We start from the raw sequence: 18,790 nt of genomic DNA, 5'->3' as shown, positions 1-18,790 counted from the left end.
TACAGGCATGCGCCACCACACCCGGCTAATTTTGTATTTTTAGTAGAGAAGGGGTTTCTCCATGTTGGTCAGGTTGGTCTTGAACTCCTGACCTCAGGTGATCCACTCACCTCAGCTGCCCAAAGTGCTGGGATTACAGGCATGAGCCACCGCGTCTGGCACCACTTCATGTTAAATGCAAAAAACTTGTAATCATACAGGTCTTTTTATGCCCAATTTTTACACTTTGACACCTGTTTTACATATAAACCTTCCAAGACAATGTTACAATTTTTACTTTAAAGACTCATATGTGTGTAGTTCTTCTCAATTAGAGGAAAAGAGTCTTTTATATTTATTCAGACATTCATCATTTCTGGGGCTTTTCATTCATTCCTGAAGACCTGAGTTTCCAACTGGTATCATTTTCCTTCAGCCTGAAGAATTTTCTTAAACATTTTTTCTAGTGTAAATCTGTTAATAACAAATCCTTTTGATTTTCTTTTATTTGGAAATGTCCTTATTTTGCCTTCTTCCTTGAAAAAAAATTTGTGGACATAGAATTCTGGCAATCCATTTTATCTTTGAGCACTTTGAAGATGTTCCACTACCTTCTAGCCTCCATTGTGTCTAATAAGCAGTTATTGCAATTTGAATAATTGTTTTCCTTCTTGTAATGTGTCTTCATCTTGCCTGTTTTCAGAATTTTTTCTTGATGTTTAAATTTTAGCAGTTTTACTATGATGTGTTTGATGTGGTTTTCCTTATATTTATCCTGTTTGAGATTTCACTGATTTCCTCTAAACTGTAAATTTATGTCTTTCATGAAATATGGGAAGTTTTGGGCCATTGTTTCTTCAAATATGTTTTCTGCCCCATTCTCTCTCACTTTTTCTTCTGGGTCTCTAACCATACATACATTAGATCTTTTGATATTATCCCACAGGTCCTTGATTCTGTTCTCTCTCTTTTTTTTTAATCTATTTTCTCTCTCTTGTTCCAAGTGGATAGTCTCATTTATCCATCCTCAAGTTCATCGACTTTTACTTTGTTGTCTCCTGTCTGCTGATAAGCCTGTGCAGTTAATTTCTATCTTTGATGTTATAATTTTATTTTTAGAATTTTTATTTTGTTCTTATTTCTATTTTGCTACTTAAATTTCCATCTGTGCATTCATTATAAGCATATTTTCTTTTATGTCATAGCATAGTTAAAATAACTGCTTTAAATTTCTTGTTTGATAATTCCAACATCTGGATTACTCAGGGTTGATCTCAGCTGATAATCTTGTCTCTTGAGAATGGATCACATTTTTCTGTTTTTTTCATATTTTGATAGATTTTGAATTATATTCTGGATACTGCGAATGCTGTGTTGTAGAGAATCTTAATTATGATATATTACTTCTAAGATTGTCAAACTTTTTGTTTGTCTGTTTGTTGTAACAGACAATTAACCTGATTGGACTCAAACTACAAATTATGTTTTTTAATCATTGGCTTAAGTTTCCGTTCAATTCTTTTCTACTTAGGTAGGTTGCTTACATTTTGCCTGGTAAACACATGGTTTAGGGACCAACCAGAGATTTGGGCAGGGTTTATGTATGCACAAAATTTGGGGCATACTCTCTGACTCTTTCCTCTTCAGAACCTCTCTTTCACTTTCTGGCAGTTCTCTGATTAACAGACCAAATGACTAAAGGTTTTCCATTGAAGTTTTAGCCACACTGCATGACACAGACTGGGACAAGTCCCAAAGGTAGAAGCCATGAAAATGGGAAAACTTTTTTGATTTCACTCGGATGTTTGTCCCCACCAAATTTCATGTTGAAACGTAATCCCCCATGTTGGAGGTGGGGCTTAGTGAGGGGTGTTGGATCATAGGGGCAGATTCCCTCATGAATAGCTTAGCACCATTCTCACAGTAATGAGTGAGATTTCACTCTGAGTTCATGCAAGATCTGGTTATTTAAAATTTAAAAGTGTGGCGCCTCCTCCCTCTCCTTCCTGCTCCTGCTCTTCTCGTGCAATGCACTTGCTCCTTCTTCACCTTCCACCATGGTTGGAAGCTTCCTGAGGTTCTCAGCAGAAGCTGAGCAGATGCCAGAGCCATGCTTCCATGCTTCCTGTAGAGCCTGCAGAACTGTGAGCTGATTAAATCTCCTTTCTTTATAAATAACCCAGAAGTTCTGTTGTTGTTGTTGTTTAGACTCCAGCCCTGTTGCCCAGGCTGGAGTGCAGTGGCGTGATCTCAGCTCACTGCAACCTCCACCTCCCAGGTTCAAGTGATTCTCATGCCTCAGCCTCCTGAGTAGCTGGGATTATGGGTGCCCACCATAATGCCCAGCTAATTTTTGTATTTTTAGTAGAGATGGGGTTTCACCATCTTGGCCAGGCTGGTCTTGAAGTCCTGCCCTCAAGTGATCCACCCACCTTCACCTCCCAAATTGGTGGGATTACAGGGATGAACCACACCACCTCATCACAGAGGTATTTTTCTTTCTTTTCTTTTCTTTCTTTTTTTTTTTTTTTAAGACAGATTCTCGCTCTGTCACCCGAGCTGGAGTGCAGTGGCGCGATCTTGGCTCACTGCAACCTCTGCCGCCCAGGTTCAAGTGAATTCTCCAGCCTCAGCCTCCCAAGTAGCTGGGATTACAGTTACCTGCTACTGTGCCTGGCTAATTTTTTTGTAGTTTTTAGTAGAGACGGGGTTTCACCATCTTGGCCAGGCTGGTCTTGAACTCCTGACCTCATGATCCACCCGCCTTGGCCTCCCAAAGTTCTGGGATTACAGGTGTGAGCCACCGCGCCTGGCCAAAGTATTTCTTTATAGCAATGCAGAGACGAACTAACACATTCACCCAGTGCCATTTTTTATTTTTCCCAAGGATCAAATCCTCTCTAAAATCTGCTTGCCTTTGGTTGCTCTCCAATATCTTGTTACTCTCTAGGAAATTGTGTGTGTGTGTGTGTGTTTCTGTAGTTGTTTTCTGTAGGCAGATCAGCCAGTTGGAGCTTCTTCAACCATACTGGAAAGGAAGTTTATCCATTTAAAATTTTTTTAATGTATTTATTTATTTTTTGGCAAGCATTTATTCAGTAAATCTGTCCTATGTGCTCACTGTATGTTAAGCAATGTGCTAGGCAGTGGGATATAAGGATGTCCTCAAGGGACTAATGGCCTGGCATGGGGATGAGCAAGATAACCAGAAGATGGTACAGAATGGGGAGTGCTATGTAAAGACATGCTCAAGTCACTGTGAAGGGGGAGAGATAACCCCAAAATGGCTACTGCAGAAAAGGCACATATTGGAACAGGCGTATATGCAACTCTAGAATTTCAGACTGATTAATGTCATAAATTCTAGATGATTCATCTAAAATGAAGTACAAATTCTAGAAGTAAATAATTGTATTTAAGCATGCATAATTTCTTTGTGTTACCAATACCAAGATCTTTTTTTTCTGTAGCTGTAGCCAGTCAGGGTTCTGGGGTTATATAAAGAAGACAAGATGACAGCTGTGTTTCAGGGCATCTGAGGATAGGACATGTTGGCATTAAGCTAAACACCACAGTAGTAAATCTATTAATATCTGCCTAGGTCAAGAGTGCCCATTTTGAACAAACTTATGTATGTTACGATAAAATATTTCCCATAGTGTTTTGTAACTTCCTCTCATGTTTAGTCCTTTCTCATTATGACAACTAAAGATTTTATGAGAGGAGGAGTCAAACTGACATTAGAAATATTTCCCTAGTTCAGAGATGTTTAACACTGAAGATTTCCTTCTGCCTTCTCCTTCTGTGCTCTTGGCATCTTGTGATGCTTGGCACCTGCCAACAAGCACTGAGGGATCAGTACTAGACACTTTGGCGCTGAGAGTATCGCCTGAGTCCTCCCCTTGTCCACCTGCAGTAAATCAGGTGGCATAGCTCCTACACACTTACCGAGGGACCAAGTGGACGCAAAATATTCAAGCTAAAGATACCACAAGCTTTCACTTGGTCGCTCTGCTTAATAGATTGGGAACTGCATGTTAAAAGAGGTCAGAGCAGTGAGTAATTTTGAAGAACAGCGTAGGAGAAATATGCAGCCTCAGAAAAGTTTTGACTCCAGGCTGGGTGCCGTGGCTCACACCTGTAATCCCAGCACTTTGGGAGGCTGAGGCGGGTGGATCACCTGAGGTCAGAAGTTTGAGACCAGCCTGGCCAACATGGTGAAACCCCATCTCTCCTAAAAATACAAAAATTAGCCAGGCATGTTGGCGTGTGCCCATAGTCCCAGCTACTCTGGAGGCTGAGGCAGGAGAATTCCTTGAACTCAAAAGGCAGAAGTTGCAGGGAGCTGAGATCATGCCACTGCACTCCAGCCTGGGTGACAGAGCAAGAATTTGTCTCAAAAATAAACAAATGAACAACAAAAACAAACAAACAAAAAAACAGAAAAGTTTTGACTCCAGGCATCTATCGCTTGGTCAGGAAATTCTAGAATAGCTGCTCCAGTTCTAATGGAAACCACACTCAGGTTGATTTGATGGGCTATTTCTCAATTGAATTAAGTATTTTCTGCTAGGGCGTGTGTTAAATTTTCTGTAAGATCCTATCTTTGTTGTGAAACTTGCCAAATAATTTATGAATACTATTTAGCACCATCTCTTCATGCAATCACCATCAATAAAAGGCTTCCCGTCAGCATATGACCTTCACTTGTGTCCCATACTCTCTCTTCCAGCCAAGTTAACGCATTACCATCTTCCTCATGGGGAGAATGGCTACCACCTGCAGCTTTCCTGCTGGCACACTCTGAAGCTGGCTTCTGCCCCAGCAGGAGAAGTATAAGAGGCCTCTTATACAGGTTTTCCTGCCTGATGTCTGGGGTTGGCCATCCAGTGCACAGGTCTCCTTACTGCCTAACATCTAGGCTAGATTGACAGCCTTGACCTTGTTCTTACTTTCAGCTCCTCTTCTGAATGTACATACTACATCTCGGTCTCAGCTTTGCCCTAGCTTTGCTGCTTTGGGCTTCCTTCCCTGTATCCAGATACAGCTGTAATCCATTGTGTCCCTTTCTATCACATCTAATGCTACTAAAGACCACGGAATTTATTATTATTATTATTTTTGAGACCAGGTCTCCCTCTGTCACCCAGGCTGGAGAGCAGTAGCACCATCTCCTCTCACTGCAACCTCTGCCTCCTGGGCTCAAACAATCCTCCCACCTCAGCCTCCCAAATAGCTGGAGCTACAGGTGCATGCCACCACGCCCAGCTAATTTTTGTATTTTTTGTAGAGATGAGGTTTCACCATTTTGCCCAGGCTGCTCTTAAACTCCTGGGCTCAAGCAATCCACCCACCTCATCCTCCCAGTGTTGGGATTACAGGCATGACTCACTGCACCCAGCCAGACCATGGAATTTATAAAGTTGAATTTTCCTGAACCATTAAAGGGAAAGATGCAGGAAATAAGAGAATGGCAAGTGGAAATGGTACCAAGAATTATTGGCTTCTTGTTTCATGCAGTGATTCTATGTTGGATACTCTCCTTTGGTTCTTACATATACTTACTGAAATGGTTTGGCTCTGTGTCCCCACCCAAATCTCATCTTGTAGCTCCCATAATTCCCACATGTTGTGGGAGGGACCCAGTGGGAGATGATTAAATCATGGGGTCAGATCTTTCCCGTGCTGTTCTCCTGATAGTGAATGGGTCTCACAAGATCTGATGGTTTTAAAAACGGGAGTTTCTCTGCACAAGTTCTCTCTTTGCCTGCTGCCATCCACCTAAGACGTAACTTGCTCCTCCTTGCCTTCTGCCATGATTGTGAGGCCTCCGCAGCCACATGGAATTGAGTCCAATTGAACCTCTTTTTTTTTTTTTTTTTTTTGTAGATTGCCCAGTCTCGGGTATGTCTTTATCAGTAGCATGAAAACGGACTAATACACTTACCTAACTCTCAAAACAGCCTACTAAATTGTTGCTATTGGCATTTTTCAGATGAGGAAACTGAGGCACAGAGAGATTAATTTGCCCAAGATCACTTGTACGGAAAGTAAACACACCATTTAGACTCTCTGAGCCTTAGTTCTTTGTCTATAGCATGGAAATGTAATAGTACCTGCTGTCTAGAGTTGTGGTGAGGCCTATGTAAGTTCATACATGTGCATTAGGACAGTGCCTGGCATGTTGTGAGTGCTCAGTAATTCTTAGCAATTAATATCTTGCTTCAAGTATTTGGAGTAAAGTGCTCTTTTTTTTCAAGCGTGGCAGTTAAGGACCATGAAGCCTAGAGCTGCAGAAAGCGCTCTTTGTTACCATGTACAGTGAGCCTGCCTGACAATGAGGCCCATTGAAAAGAAAGCAGAGCTGAGAGATTGAGGAAGACAACATCCATGTAACATTATTTGGGCCCTCAAATCTTTCTGTTCTCAAAGCTAGATGCAACCCCAAATGAGCCAATATAAATTCTCTGTTTTTAAACAAGCTTCAGTTGGGTACCTATGACCTTTGTCTAGAAGAACCTTAAGAGAGTCCCGGGCAGACACTTCTAGAAAACAATATGCATTTCCAGAATTTGCCTTAGCCTTGTGTCAAGGCAGCTAATGAAGCTGGTTTTCAATTGTGCTCAGAGTTCCACAATAGAAGAAAGTAATTTGGTTCCCTTGAGTGTTGAATGGGAAGTCAAGCTACTTATAAGTTGTTGGAACTTTTTTTTTTTTCTTGACTAGTGGGAGGAGGGCTGCATGGTACCAACTGAAAGGATTTTTTGGATTATTAGAGCTCTTTTGACACATAGGTTTTACAGTTTGGCAGGCTCATAAGATCCCGAGGTCTAACTTGCCCACTTTACAAATGAGTAAATTGCAGCCTGGAAAGATTAAGTAACTTGGACAAGCTGATTAGTCTACGTAGGAGAATAACCAGGTTCTAAACCTTGCTGTCATTTGAATTCTCTCTGATTTTGGATTTTCAGCAATATAAGCTGCACATAGGTTTTTTTGGACATAGACATGCAGAATTAGAGTCAGCAAGCTTATATCAGCTCACCCGACTCCTAACCTAGCTTGGTGTTTCTCTCATTGTATCATGCTTCTTCCTATCATTAAACACTTTTCCTGTGGCCACAATGTTTACTTAATACAGTAGTCTCCACCCCCCTATCCACAGTTTCACCTCCACAGTTTCAGTTACCTGTGGTCAACCACAGTCTGAAAATGGATAAGTAGAGTACAATAAGATATTTGAGAAAGAGAGGGATCACATTTGCATAACTTTTATTGCAGCGTGTGTTGTTATTTTATTATTGTTGTTCTTAGCCTATTACTGTGCCTAATTTATAAATTAAACTTTATCATAGGTATGTATGTATAGGAAAAAAAATAGTGTATATATGCTTTGGTACTATCTGCAGTGTCAGGCATCCACGGGGGGTCTTGGCACTTACCGTCGTGGATAAGGAGAGACTACACAGTACACAGCAAGTAACAAATGCGTAGTGTAGAACTCTAGCCCTACAGAATGTTTCTAGAATGCGGTAATGCAGAAAAAGAAGTTCTGTATTTAAATAAATTAATGAGTTAATTACTGGTGGTATGTGCCTGTATTCCCAGCTACTTGGGAGGCTGAGACGGGAGGACTGCTTGAGCCCAGGAGTTTGAGGTTACTGTGAGCTATGATAGCACCACTGCACTCCAGCCTGGGTGATAGAGCAAAACCCAATCTCAAAATAAATAAATAAATAAATACATAAATAAATAAAATGTATGAGTTGGTTGGGCATGGTGGCTCACATCTGTAATCGCAGCACCTTGAGAGGCTGAGGTGGGCAGATCACTTGAGGCCCGGAGTTCGAGACCAGCCTGGCCAACATGGTGACACCCCGTCTCTACAAAAAAAAATATAAAAATTAGCCAAGTGTGGTGGCAGGCGCCTGTATTCCCAGCTACTCAGGAGGCTGAGGCAGGAGAATCACTTGAACCCGGGAGGCGGAGGTTGCAGTGAGCCAAGACTGCGCCACTACACTCCAGCCTGGGTGACAGAGCAAGACTCCATCTTGGAAAAAAAAAGTGTGGCTTAAATTGGTTTCTTTACTGCAGTATTTCTCAGAGCCTTTAATAAGCTGTTTTGCATTATAAATGGGGCAGGGTGGGGTTAGACATAGGATACAGTGTTTTCAAACTCATCTTACCACAGATCTAGTGTTCTGGGAAATGCAGCATTAGAGGCATGAATCTTCACATTGTTTTCCAGGGTTGAACAATCATCTTATCCCTTGATTCAGTTCTACCCTCTTCTTTGGTGTTCTTTCTGGATATCCTTTTAATTTTTATGTTATTTATTTATTTTAATTTTAATTTTTTAATTTTAATTTTTTTGAAACAGGGTCTGACTCTGTCACCCAGGCTGGAGTGCAGTGGCACAATCCCAGCTCACCGCAACTGCTGCCTCCTGGGCTCAAGCCATCCTCCCACCTCAGCTTCCGGAGTAGCCAGGACTACAGGCATGAGCCACCACGCCTGGCTAATTTTTGTATTTTTTGTAGAGATGGCGTTTCGCCATGTTGCCCAGGCTGGTCTCAAACTCCTGGGGTCAAGCGATCTGCCCACCTTGGCCTCCCAAAGTGCTGGGATTACAGGCGTGAGCCATTGCGCCTGGCCCAGTTCTCCATTTTAAATTATCACCTTCAATTTTCATACTCCCTCCTGTTTCTCCAAGTTTCTGTATTTGGTTGCTTCTCTGGCTGTGGTTCCTTTTCTCAGTCTCTTTGTGTGTGGCCTTTACTTGCAGGGTGAAGCGTTCTGATGAGACAATGTCTCTGGCGAGTTCTGTCTAATGAAGAATGATCAGCTTGAACACTCTCCGAAGGGCAAGATCAGCCCTGACTTATAATAATTATATCTCAATACTCTCACACCCCAAGGTGGGCTTGTGGGAGGGAGCCGTACATAAAGATGCTTTCAACAGATTGCCCAGAAGTGCCAAGAAAGCCACTGTCCCCCTTGTTGAGTCCTACTCATCTTCCCAGGCCCAAGCCCAGTGGCAGAACATCTCCACGAAGTTCCCAAACATCGGAAGCCCCTCTCCTGACTTCCAGCATCTCACAAGAAAGTCAGCTCCAGCTTAGCACTTAGCCTCTTCTCCCCTGACAAGCTGACAAGCTGACCGTCTGTCTAGGACGACATTTGTGTTTTGACTAAAAGAATCAGCCTCCCTGATTAACATTTGCCACAGTCGTCACCAAGTATGGTGCTGTCTTTTATTGTCCTAAAAAGTATTCTGTGCCTTCTACATTACGCTTGTGTCCTTAAAATTCTAGCAGAAATTTTTAGTATAGTTTGCACACTGGGTAGAATTTATCTTCATTGATAGTTTCCACACTCAACATTCCCTATTTGTTTTATTTATTTATTTATTTATTTATTTATTTATTTATTTATTTATTTTGAGACGGAGTCTTGCTCTGTCACCCAGGCTGGAGTGCAGCGGCGCAGTCTCGGCTCACTGCAACCTCCACCTCCCAGGTTCAAGCGATTCTCCTGCCTCAGCCTCCCAAGTAGCTGGGATTGCAGGAGTGCACCACCATGCCGGGCTAATATTTTCGTATTTTTAGTAGAGATGGGGTTTCACCACGTTGGCCAGGCTAGTCTCAAACTCCTGACCTCAAGTGATCTGCCCGCCTCAGCCTCCCAAAGTACTGGGATTACAGGCGTGAGCCACCACGCTCAGCCCCTCAAAAGTCCTTTATTTTCAAGGGTCTTCACAGACCGAATGACAGCCTTGCGGGCATCACTGTGGTGCCTCCATGCAAACAACACAGCGTTGGAACCAACATTAGTGCTGATCCAATTAAATGAATGCCATAGGCTTTTTCTCTTGCTTGCACTTTTTTTCCCCAACATTTTCACATTCATTCTAAAACTGAGATGCATTTTATGTAAGTCTCTATTTTAAGGAGTTTCAGGAAGACTAATGCAGGCCTTTGGCTTCATGATAGAGACTACACAGCCAAACAAGCAATTTCAAAGGCTAGGTGTAAGTTATTGACAGGTGGAGATCTGAATAAACTTATAAATACTTATCAGCATTCACTTCAAATTTTAGTACTCTGTACAAGAATAGATTAGAAAATAGCTTCTGAAAGGTCGACAGAAAGTGTGCTTTCAGTATCTTCCACTTCAATGGCTTTCCTAGACACATACATGCCCTTTTCACTACTTTATATTGAACCAAAACTTTATTGTCACACAGTGCGGTTAGCTAAGCAGCTGATTGGTTGTTTTTTTTTGTTTGTTTTGTTTTTTAACATTTTGGTGTATCTTGGGATTTGTCAGTCCTGAATGTACGCTCTAATTAACACATCAACAGAGAACTGTGGCCAGCCAACAGAATATCTCATGTGCTTCCTCACTTGGCCTTACTTTTGGGACTCACTAAATGGTGAATTCACTACCTACTCAGAAGCCACCCTCACAGGTATAATTGAAGGAAACTGTAGTAGATGTGAGGCCTGATCTGATAACACCTAGGTCTCTTCCAGGGAAGAAGAGGCTAGAGAAGATTACTCTTGCTATAAACCTGAGAATCATGTAACATGATAAGTACTACCTGGCTGGCCATTAGTTTAAATAAGTTACTTGCTTGGGCTCACATATCACACCAAGGTGTTAAATTTAATCTCTAAAGACTTACGTGGTTTGGACTCAGAATGTTCTCGTTGAACACACTTCTTTCCCTTGTCATGTTGCATCCAAGCCCTGTAACTGACCCAGATTTAAGGACTTGGCCAGCCTGGACCACCAGGTAAGCTGTAGAAGAGACAGCATTTAAGTTGAGAATGCTTCCAGCTCTACATTTAAGTTTGGGATATCTCCAGTTCAGATCTGTCGGCTGATTATACAGCCCGTCCAACTTTCCTGGTTTCCTGTCTCACCTGCTTCTAAGTGAAGCCTAAAAACCTTGGACAGTAGAGCTTCAGACTTTCAACATGAGGATTCAGGGGTTAAGTCTATTTAAGACAATGCCTTGGTTCCTTTTTTCTATCATAACAGATAAGAATAGTCCTGTACCTTCCTGAAATCCCTAGTACATAGTAAGTGTACAATTGAGATACTTTCAGCAGAAAACCCAACTCAAAACAGCTTAAATAGGCCATTTATTTTATTTTATTTTATTTTTTAAGAGACAGAGTCTCACTCTGTCACCAGGCTGGAGTGCAGTTGCATGATCATGGCTCATTGCAGACTCAACTCCCTGAGCTCAGGTGATTATCACACCTCAGTCTCCTGAGTAGCTGGGACTGTGGGTGTGCGCCACCATGCCTGGCTAATTTTCAAAAAAAAAAGCTGTAGAGATGGAGTCTCCCTGTGTTGCCCAGGCTGGTCTCTAACTCCTGGGCTCAAGAGATCCACCCACCTCAGCCTCCCAAAGTGCTAGGATTACAGGCATGAGCCACTGTGCCTGGACTATGGCAGCACATTTGAATATCTGGGGCTTAGCTGGAAATTTCTAAAAACACCAATGCCCAGGAATACCTCTGGACATTCTAATTTCATTGGTCTGGGAAGGAGGCCTGAACCTGGGTTTTTTTGTTTCTTTTTTTTTTTTGTCCCCAAGACGGAGTCTCACTGTTGCCCAGGCTGAAGTACAGTGGTGTGATCTCAGCTCACTGAAACCTCTGCCTCCTGGGTTCAAGTGATTCTCCTGCCTCAGCCTCCTGAGTAGCTGGGATTACAGGTGTCTCCCACCATGCCTGGCTAAATTTTTTTTTTTTTTTTTGTAGATGGGGTTTCACCATGTTGGCCAGGCTGGTCTCAAACCCCTGATCTCAAGTGGATTCACTTGCCTCGGCCTTCCAAAGAGCTGGGATTACAGGCATGAACCACTGCACCTGGCCCTAACCTGGGTATTTTTTAAAGCTTCCCTTGGTGACTCTAATGTGCAGCCAGGATTGAGAACCACTGACTTAGACTAATCAGGAATTACCCCTGAATCATGTCAAGGAGAGATAAAATTCAACCCCAGTCAGGAAGATGAGAGGAAATGTCTATTGGATATGCAACCCACAGATGATCAAAAAATACTTCTTTAATTTCTCCAAAGAAGATACACAAATGCCAAACAAGCACATGAAAAGATGCTCAAAATCTCTAATCATTAGAGAAATGCAAATCAAAACCACCATGAAGTGCCACCTCACACTCATTAGGATGGCTACTATCAAAACAGAAAATACCAAGTGTTGGCAAGAACGTGGGGTGATTGGAACGCTTGTGCTCTGCTGATAGGAACGCATAATGGTGCCACTGCTATGGAAAACAGTATAATTGTTTCTCAAAAAAATTTTTTTAAATTACCATATGATTCAGCTATTCCACTTCTAGGAATACACTTCAAATAATTGACAGCACGGTCTCAAAGAGATATCTGTACATCCATGTTCATAGCTGCATTATTCACAATAGCCCAGAAAGCAACTTAAGTGTCCTTTGATGAATGAATGAATAAGTAAAATGTGTGGTACAATGGGGTATTTTTTAGCTTCAAGGGGAAGGAAATTCTGACACATGCTATAACAGGGATGAATATTGAAAACATTATGCTAAGTGAAATAAGCCAGTCACAAAAAGACAAATAAATACTGTATGATTCCACTTACAAGAGACACACAAAGCCATCAAATTCATAGAGAAAGTAGAATGGTGGTTCCAGAAGCTGGGGGAAGAGAGGACTGGGAAGTTATTGTTTAATAGGTATGGAGTTTCAGTGTTGCAGATGAAAGAGTTCTCTGGCTGGATTGTGATAATGATGATAGTAGTGCAACAAAATGAATGTACTTCATGGCACTGAACTATACACTTAAAAATGGTTTAGGTGGGCTGGGTACAGTGTTTCATGCCTGTAATCCCAACACTTTGGAAGACCGAGGCGGGTGGATCACCAGGTCAGGAGTTTGACCAGCCTGTAAGACCAGGCTGTAAGACCAGCCTGCCCAAGATGGTGAAACCCTGTCTCTACTAAAAATTCAAAAAATTAGCTGGGCATGGTGGCAGTTGCCTGTAATCCCAGCTACTCAAGAGGCTGAGGCAGAGAATTGCTTGAACCCAGGAGGCGGAGGTTGCAGTGAGCCAAGATCGCGCCACTGCCCTCCAGCCTGGGAGACAGAGCAAGATTCCATCTCAAAAAAAAAAAAGATTAAGGTGGTACATTTTGCTATGTAGATTTTACTATGATTTTAAAGATAATGTTTGTTGAACAGATGCAGAGCTGAGAATCTGCTCCACTTGCCTTCTATACTAGTGGCTAGCTGGCATCAGGGCAAAAATGGGGAAGCTGCACGGGGCAGGAGCACTCTGAAAACAGCAGATTGTATTCTTTAGAGAGCAATAATTATGAATTCCAATGATAATTAAGAGGGACGAGGGTGGAAAATAAGAATTGGGAGGGAAGGCTGGGCATGGTGGCTCATGCCTGTAATTCCAGCACTTTGGGAGGCCGAGGCAAGTGGATCACCTGAGGTCAAGTGTTAGAGACCAGCCTGGCCAACATGGTGAAACCCCATCTCTACTAAAAATACAAAAATTAGCCAGGCGTGGTGGTGTGCACCTGTAATCCCCTACTCGGGAGGCTGAGACAGGAGAATCGCTTGAACCCGGGAGGTGGAGATTACATCGCACCACTGCGCTCCAGCCTGGATGACAGAGCAAGACTCCATTTCAAAAAAAAAAAAGAATTAGGAGGGACATTCCAGAAATAGCCCACGCCTAGTTGGTTACCACCTTTTTGAGAGCCCCTCCCAGGTGTTCTTTAGCAAAATGCCCTGCTGAGAGTCGGGAAAGGTGAGACAGCATGAGGTCCCATCCACTGCAGGCCTCAGTGCGGCTTTTGCAAGAGTCAGGTTGGCCAGATGTCTACTCGCCTCTCAATTTCCCATTCTAATTAAAGCCACTGGGACTGGGCAATTTAAAACTACTGATAATAGCAACATCACTTATATGTGGCTTAGGGAAACGTATTAAGATTGATGCTAAATTTGAATGGTTCTGACATAGAGGATATCTACGGTTCTTAAAGTAAGATAATAAAGCTGTACTTGCAAGTGCTGACTTACTATAAGCTGGAAGCTTTCCAGCCCCATCAGTCCCCCATTCTGCAGCCCCACTTCCAATATAGGCCATCTCCTCCATTCCTCCATTTCTCCATTTCTCCCTGTACTTCACTTCCCAGGGGGTATGGTGCTCTGAAGGCCAGTGAAAAATGCCAACATTCCCCATCCTCCACCACCATCTCTACCACCATCTCCACCACCATCTCTACCACCATCTCTACTTTCTCAGTTTACTGAGTTTTTTTCTCACCACGTCCCAGACACACTATACGATCAAATCTTCTAACTTAAAAAGGGCTTTTCCTTGGGCTATCACTAATGAAAGGAAAATAGTGTTCATACCAACCTGAAGAAAGACTTTGAAATTTTAAAGTCATGTTTCCAGAAATGTGGACAACAGCTCACTTGACTCAGAATTACCTGGAACAGGGTTGAGGGCAGTGGCTGTCACCTATAATCCCAGTACTTTGGCAGGCTGAGGCAGGTGGATCACTTGAGGTCAGGAGTTCGAGATCAGCCTGGCCAACATGGTGAAACCCTGTCTGTACTAAAAATACAAAAATTAGCCAAGTGTGGTGGCACTCACCTGTAGTCCCAGCTACTCGAGAGGCTGAGGCAGGAGGATTGCTTGAGCCTGGGATGCAGAGGTTGCAGTGAGCCAAGATCACGCCATTGCACTCCAGCCTGGGTGACACAGTGAGACTCCACCTCAAAAAAAAAAAAAAAAAAGAATTACCTGGGACAGTAAAAAGGAAACCCCCTGGGCTATACCCAGACCCACTGCACCAGAATCTCTGGGAACAGGGTCAGGTAGCTGCACTTTAACAAGGATCCTAGGTGATTCTTAAACTGATGAGGCTTGAGAACTAGTCTTTAGAGGAAGGTCGCCAGAGGTGAACTGCAAGTGAATGCCCTTGAGCTAAAAAAGTATGGAAGTAAATGAGGGAAGTAAATGAGCCAAGTGGCTGTCTCATACAGTATTATCTTCAGGCCTTGTATTCATTTATGCCCATTGTACCAAGTGATCTATAATGAAAACCATTTCTTCATAACAGGCCCAGAGACTCTCAGGGCACCTACTTCTTGCATCATTCAAACTATTAGCAAATAACAACACCTTCTCGAGGGGTGTGACAACTGACAAAAGAGCAACACACCTTCAAATAAGGAAGAACTAGCCTAGTCCAGGGGTGTGGTCTGATTTTCAATGTTCCCTTTCAGATGACACTTGGGCTCTGACCAGCTGTTATTTTCATCCACCAGGAAGAGTTCTACTTTCTGAGCTCTTTGTGCAGCCAATTCTTCCTTTACATCCTTCACCTAGGAGAGGCTCAGGTGGTCAAGGTTCTTGGAAAAGGAGATCCTTTATTCTACCAGGCAGTGAACCAGTCATTCTGCAAGGGTTAGTAAGCTGTAACTATGTGCAAGGGTTCAAGATGGATAAGGCATCACAAGAAGCTTACAAACCAGTGAGGGAAGCAGATCACTAGACAGCCCGTTCCAATAGTGATAGATACATGCACGACACTTCTGGGGTGAACTATGGAGTAATGCGTAACCGTAGTAATCCAACCCAGGACTGGATAGTGGGAGAGGGCAGGGAAGGCTTCCTCAAGGAAATTCTCAGAGGCTTAAAAGGGTGAATAGGAGTGAACAGATGAAGGATCTGGCAGAGGAGACAGTGTGAGCAATGGCAAGGAGGGAGGAAATCACATAACGTTCAGACCAAAAGAAAAAAGCTGCGTCTACCACAGAGAGCCCATTGACCACTTCCATTTGGCCAAATCAGCAGGCTATTTTTCAGCAGTTTTTTCTAAATAAATTATTTCCCCAAATGTCTTTTGGCTGTCACTGTTTGTACTTTTTCTGACCAGTGTATGAATTCTAAAATTAGTTAGAAGCTTAAGGAAGGCCCAATAGAAATTAGACTGGAGTCCTAAGAAATCAGGCTGTGGGAAGATGATTATAATAAGGCTTTTAAGTAACATCTCAGACATTGAAATGATCTCTACAAGCAAGTAGTACAACCTAGTGCTGAAAGACAAGAAAGAAGGAAATCAGTCAGGCAGGCAGTTAGGGTGGGTCCTCGGTTGAATTCTTTCAAAGAAAAGAACAGCCTGAAAAATCAAGCTGCAGGCACAGATAAGAGAACTTGCCCTGGGGGAGAGGGGTGGGGGCAGGGCTTGCCTAAGACATGCCCACAGTCTCTAAGATAAGAAAGTCTACACAGGTGACTTGCCTAGACATGCCCACCCTGCAAAATTCTGTCCCCTGACACATATGCAGTAAGGGGAACAAAACAATATGGAGTAACTCAAGCTAAGGGCCCATGTGTACATTAGGAGGACTGGCTGGAGCTACCAGAAATTCATGCCTTATGCAAATGAGACACCCAGCCCTCATCAGTTTCTTATAAAAGCTTTAACATTCAACTGTAAAAACACCAACCCTCTTTCAGGTCCCCTCTCCATGGCAGAGAGTTTTCTTCTTTTGCTCATTAAACTCATGCTCCAACTTCACCCTTGGTGTCTGCGCTCCTTAATTTTCTTGGTCGTGGTGTATCCGGAATTTATTCCTTGCAGTGGGTTCTTGGTCTCACCAGCTTCAAGAATGAAGCCGTGGACCTTCGCAGAGAGTGTTACAGCTCTTAAAGATGGTGTGTCCAGAGTTTCTTCCTTCCAGTGGGTTGGTGGTCTCGCTGACTTCAAGAATGAAGCCGTGGACCTTCGCGGCAAGTGTTAACAGCTCTTAAAGGTAGTGCAGACCCAAAGAGTGAGCAGCAGCAAGATTTATTGTGAAGAGCAGAAAAACAAAGCTTCCACAGCATAGAAGGGTACCCGAGTAGGTTGCCGTGGCTGGCTGGAGTGGCCAGCTTTTAGTCCCTTATTTGGTCCCACCCATGTCCTGCTTATTGGTCCATTTTACAGAGTGCTGATTGGTCCATTTTACAGAGTGCAGACTGGTCCATTTTACAGAGTGCTGATTGGTGCGTTTACAATCCTTTAGCTACACACAGAGCACTGACTGGTGTGTTTTTACAGAGTGCTGATTGGTGCGTTTACAATCCTTTAGCTAGACACAGAGCACTGATTGGTGTGTTTTTACAGAGTGCTGATTGGTGCATTTACAATCCTTTAGCTAGACAGAAAAGTTCTCCAAGTCCCCACTCGACCCAGGAAATCTAGCTGGCTTCACCTCTCAGTGGGACAAAGAACTTTGGGTATACCTCAGACAATGAGAGTCTGATACACTGTGATGCTCTGGTGAGACTGGAACAGTGCATATGAGAATAGGCAGCTGGATCTAGACATCCACTCAGTGTGTGCCTTCTCGTGAGTTATTTAAGTCTCCTAAGCCTCACTTTCCTTGTCTGTAGTGTGGAAGCATTAATACCTATTTTTAATTACTGAGAGAATGCTTGTGGCAGATGACTGGCACATATTAATCACTCAATAAATAGTAATTATTATTTTTATAACTACCCACACTCATTTTCATTAAACATACATTACATAACAAAGGTCGAGTGTGAATAAAATGGGATTCATTTATCACAACAATTGATTTACTGCATAGAACAAACACTGGAATCCCAGAGTCAGAAGGGTGAACAGCCATGAGGACCACAGGGCAGGGCACCAAAATCACCTGCTACAGCCACCACTGCAGGGTACACAGAGAGATCTAAAAACTGGTATTAGTCCACCCCCCGGGTACAAAAGAGTTATGGTAGAAGAGGCTGGGGGAAGTGACATACCTTGGAGAAATTTTCAATGTATAGTAAATTTCCAATACCCTCTCCAGAGGAGAAGGCAAAGAGGGTTTTCTTCTTTATCTGAAGCTGAGTAGAATTGGCAGTCAAGAGGAGCACTCAAATAACTCGACAACCTTCCCTGGAGTTAGAGATCACGGGGAATGGTTTCAGAAATACACCTGAGAACACTAAAGGCTGTAGTCACTGATGCTGACAGAAGCAGGAGGAGGGCATTGCACGGGGAGTGAAGTGCACTTCCAACCACTCCAGAGCATTCCTAGGAACAAACTAAAGTGTCCTGTAGCAAAACAAGCTGCAGGAAATGAACAATTATTATAGAAGCATGACCAATATACCTTAGCATGCTGAGGCTCTGATAAGTCCTGCAGGAAAGACAACTGTTTAGTTTTATTTAACAGCATTTTTCAAACTTAATTTTTTTTTTCTTTTAAAGAGACAAGGTCTAACTATGTTGCCCAGGCTGGTCTTGAACTCCTTAGCTCAACTGATCCTCCCATGTTGCCTTCCTAAAGTGCTAGGATTACAGGCATGAACCATCACTCCCAGCCCACATTGTTCAAACTTTTAAACCATGGAACCCTGTTTTCCTTGGTAATGCCTATTCATAATCTGTGGGTGTCATGCTTTGTGGAAACACTTTTGAAAACACTGATGTGGGCTTTAGACTTAAAAGGCTCTGGACAACCTGGAAAGAGGCCCAGCTCACCTGAAAACTGGAATCCTTCTCATTACTCAAGGAGATAAACTATTGTTCCCACTGTTCTCTGGTGGGCCTGAACCTTGGGGTCAGTATCATTTCTAGTCAAGGGAAACATTTCCAAAGCTCTTCACTGGGAAAACCCTTATCTTTAGTGATCGCTATCCTCTGTGGCTAGAGGCGGGTTCCTGGCAGGAGGACCTCTCCCTTTCTTCTTTCCATAAATGCTTACAATCA

The 18,790-nt window shown here is 42.9% G+C and overlaps 1 annotated feature.

Moving 5' to 3' along the window:
- Positions 16,977-17,694: an enhancer, noted in NCBI's record as "H3K27ac hESC enhancer chr6:18089369-18090086 (GRCh37/hg19 assembly coordinates)". NCBI's record gives its function as "activates a minimal SCP1, AML or CMV promoter by ChIP-STARR-seq in naive H9 embryonic stem cells {active_cell/tissue: H9 hESC(naive)}" and the evidence as "EXISTENCE:reporter gene assay evidence [ECO:0000049][PMID:30033119]".

Source organism: Homo sapiens, chromosome 6, assembly GCF_000001405.40.
Source record: "Homo sapiens chromosome 6, GRCh38.p14 Primary Assembly".
NCBI lineage: Eukaryota > Metazoa > Chordata > Mammalia > Primates > Hominidae > Homo > Homo sapiens.
This window is presented reverse-complemented; position numbering and strand designations above follow the sequence as displayed.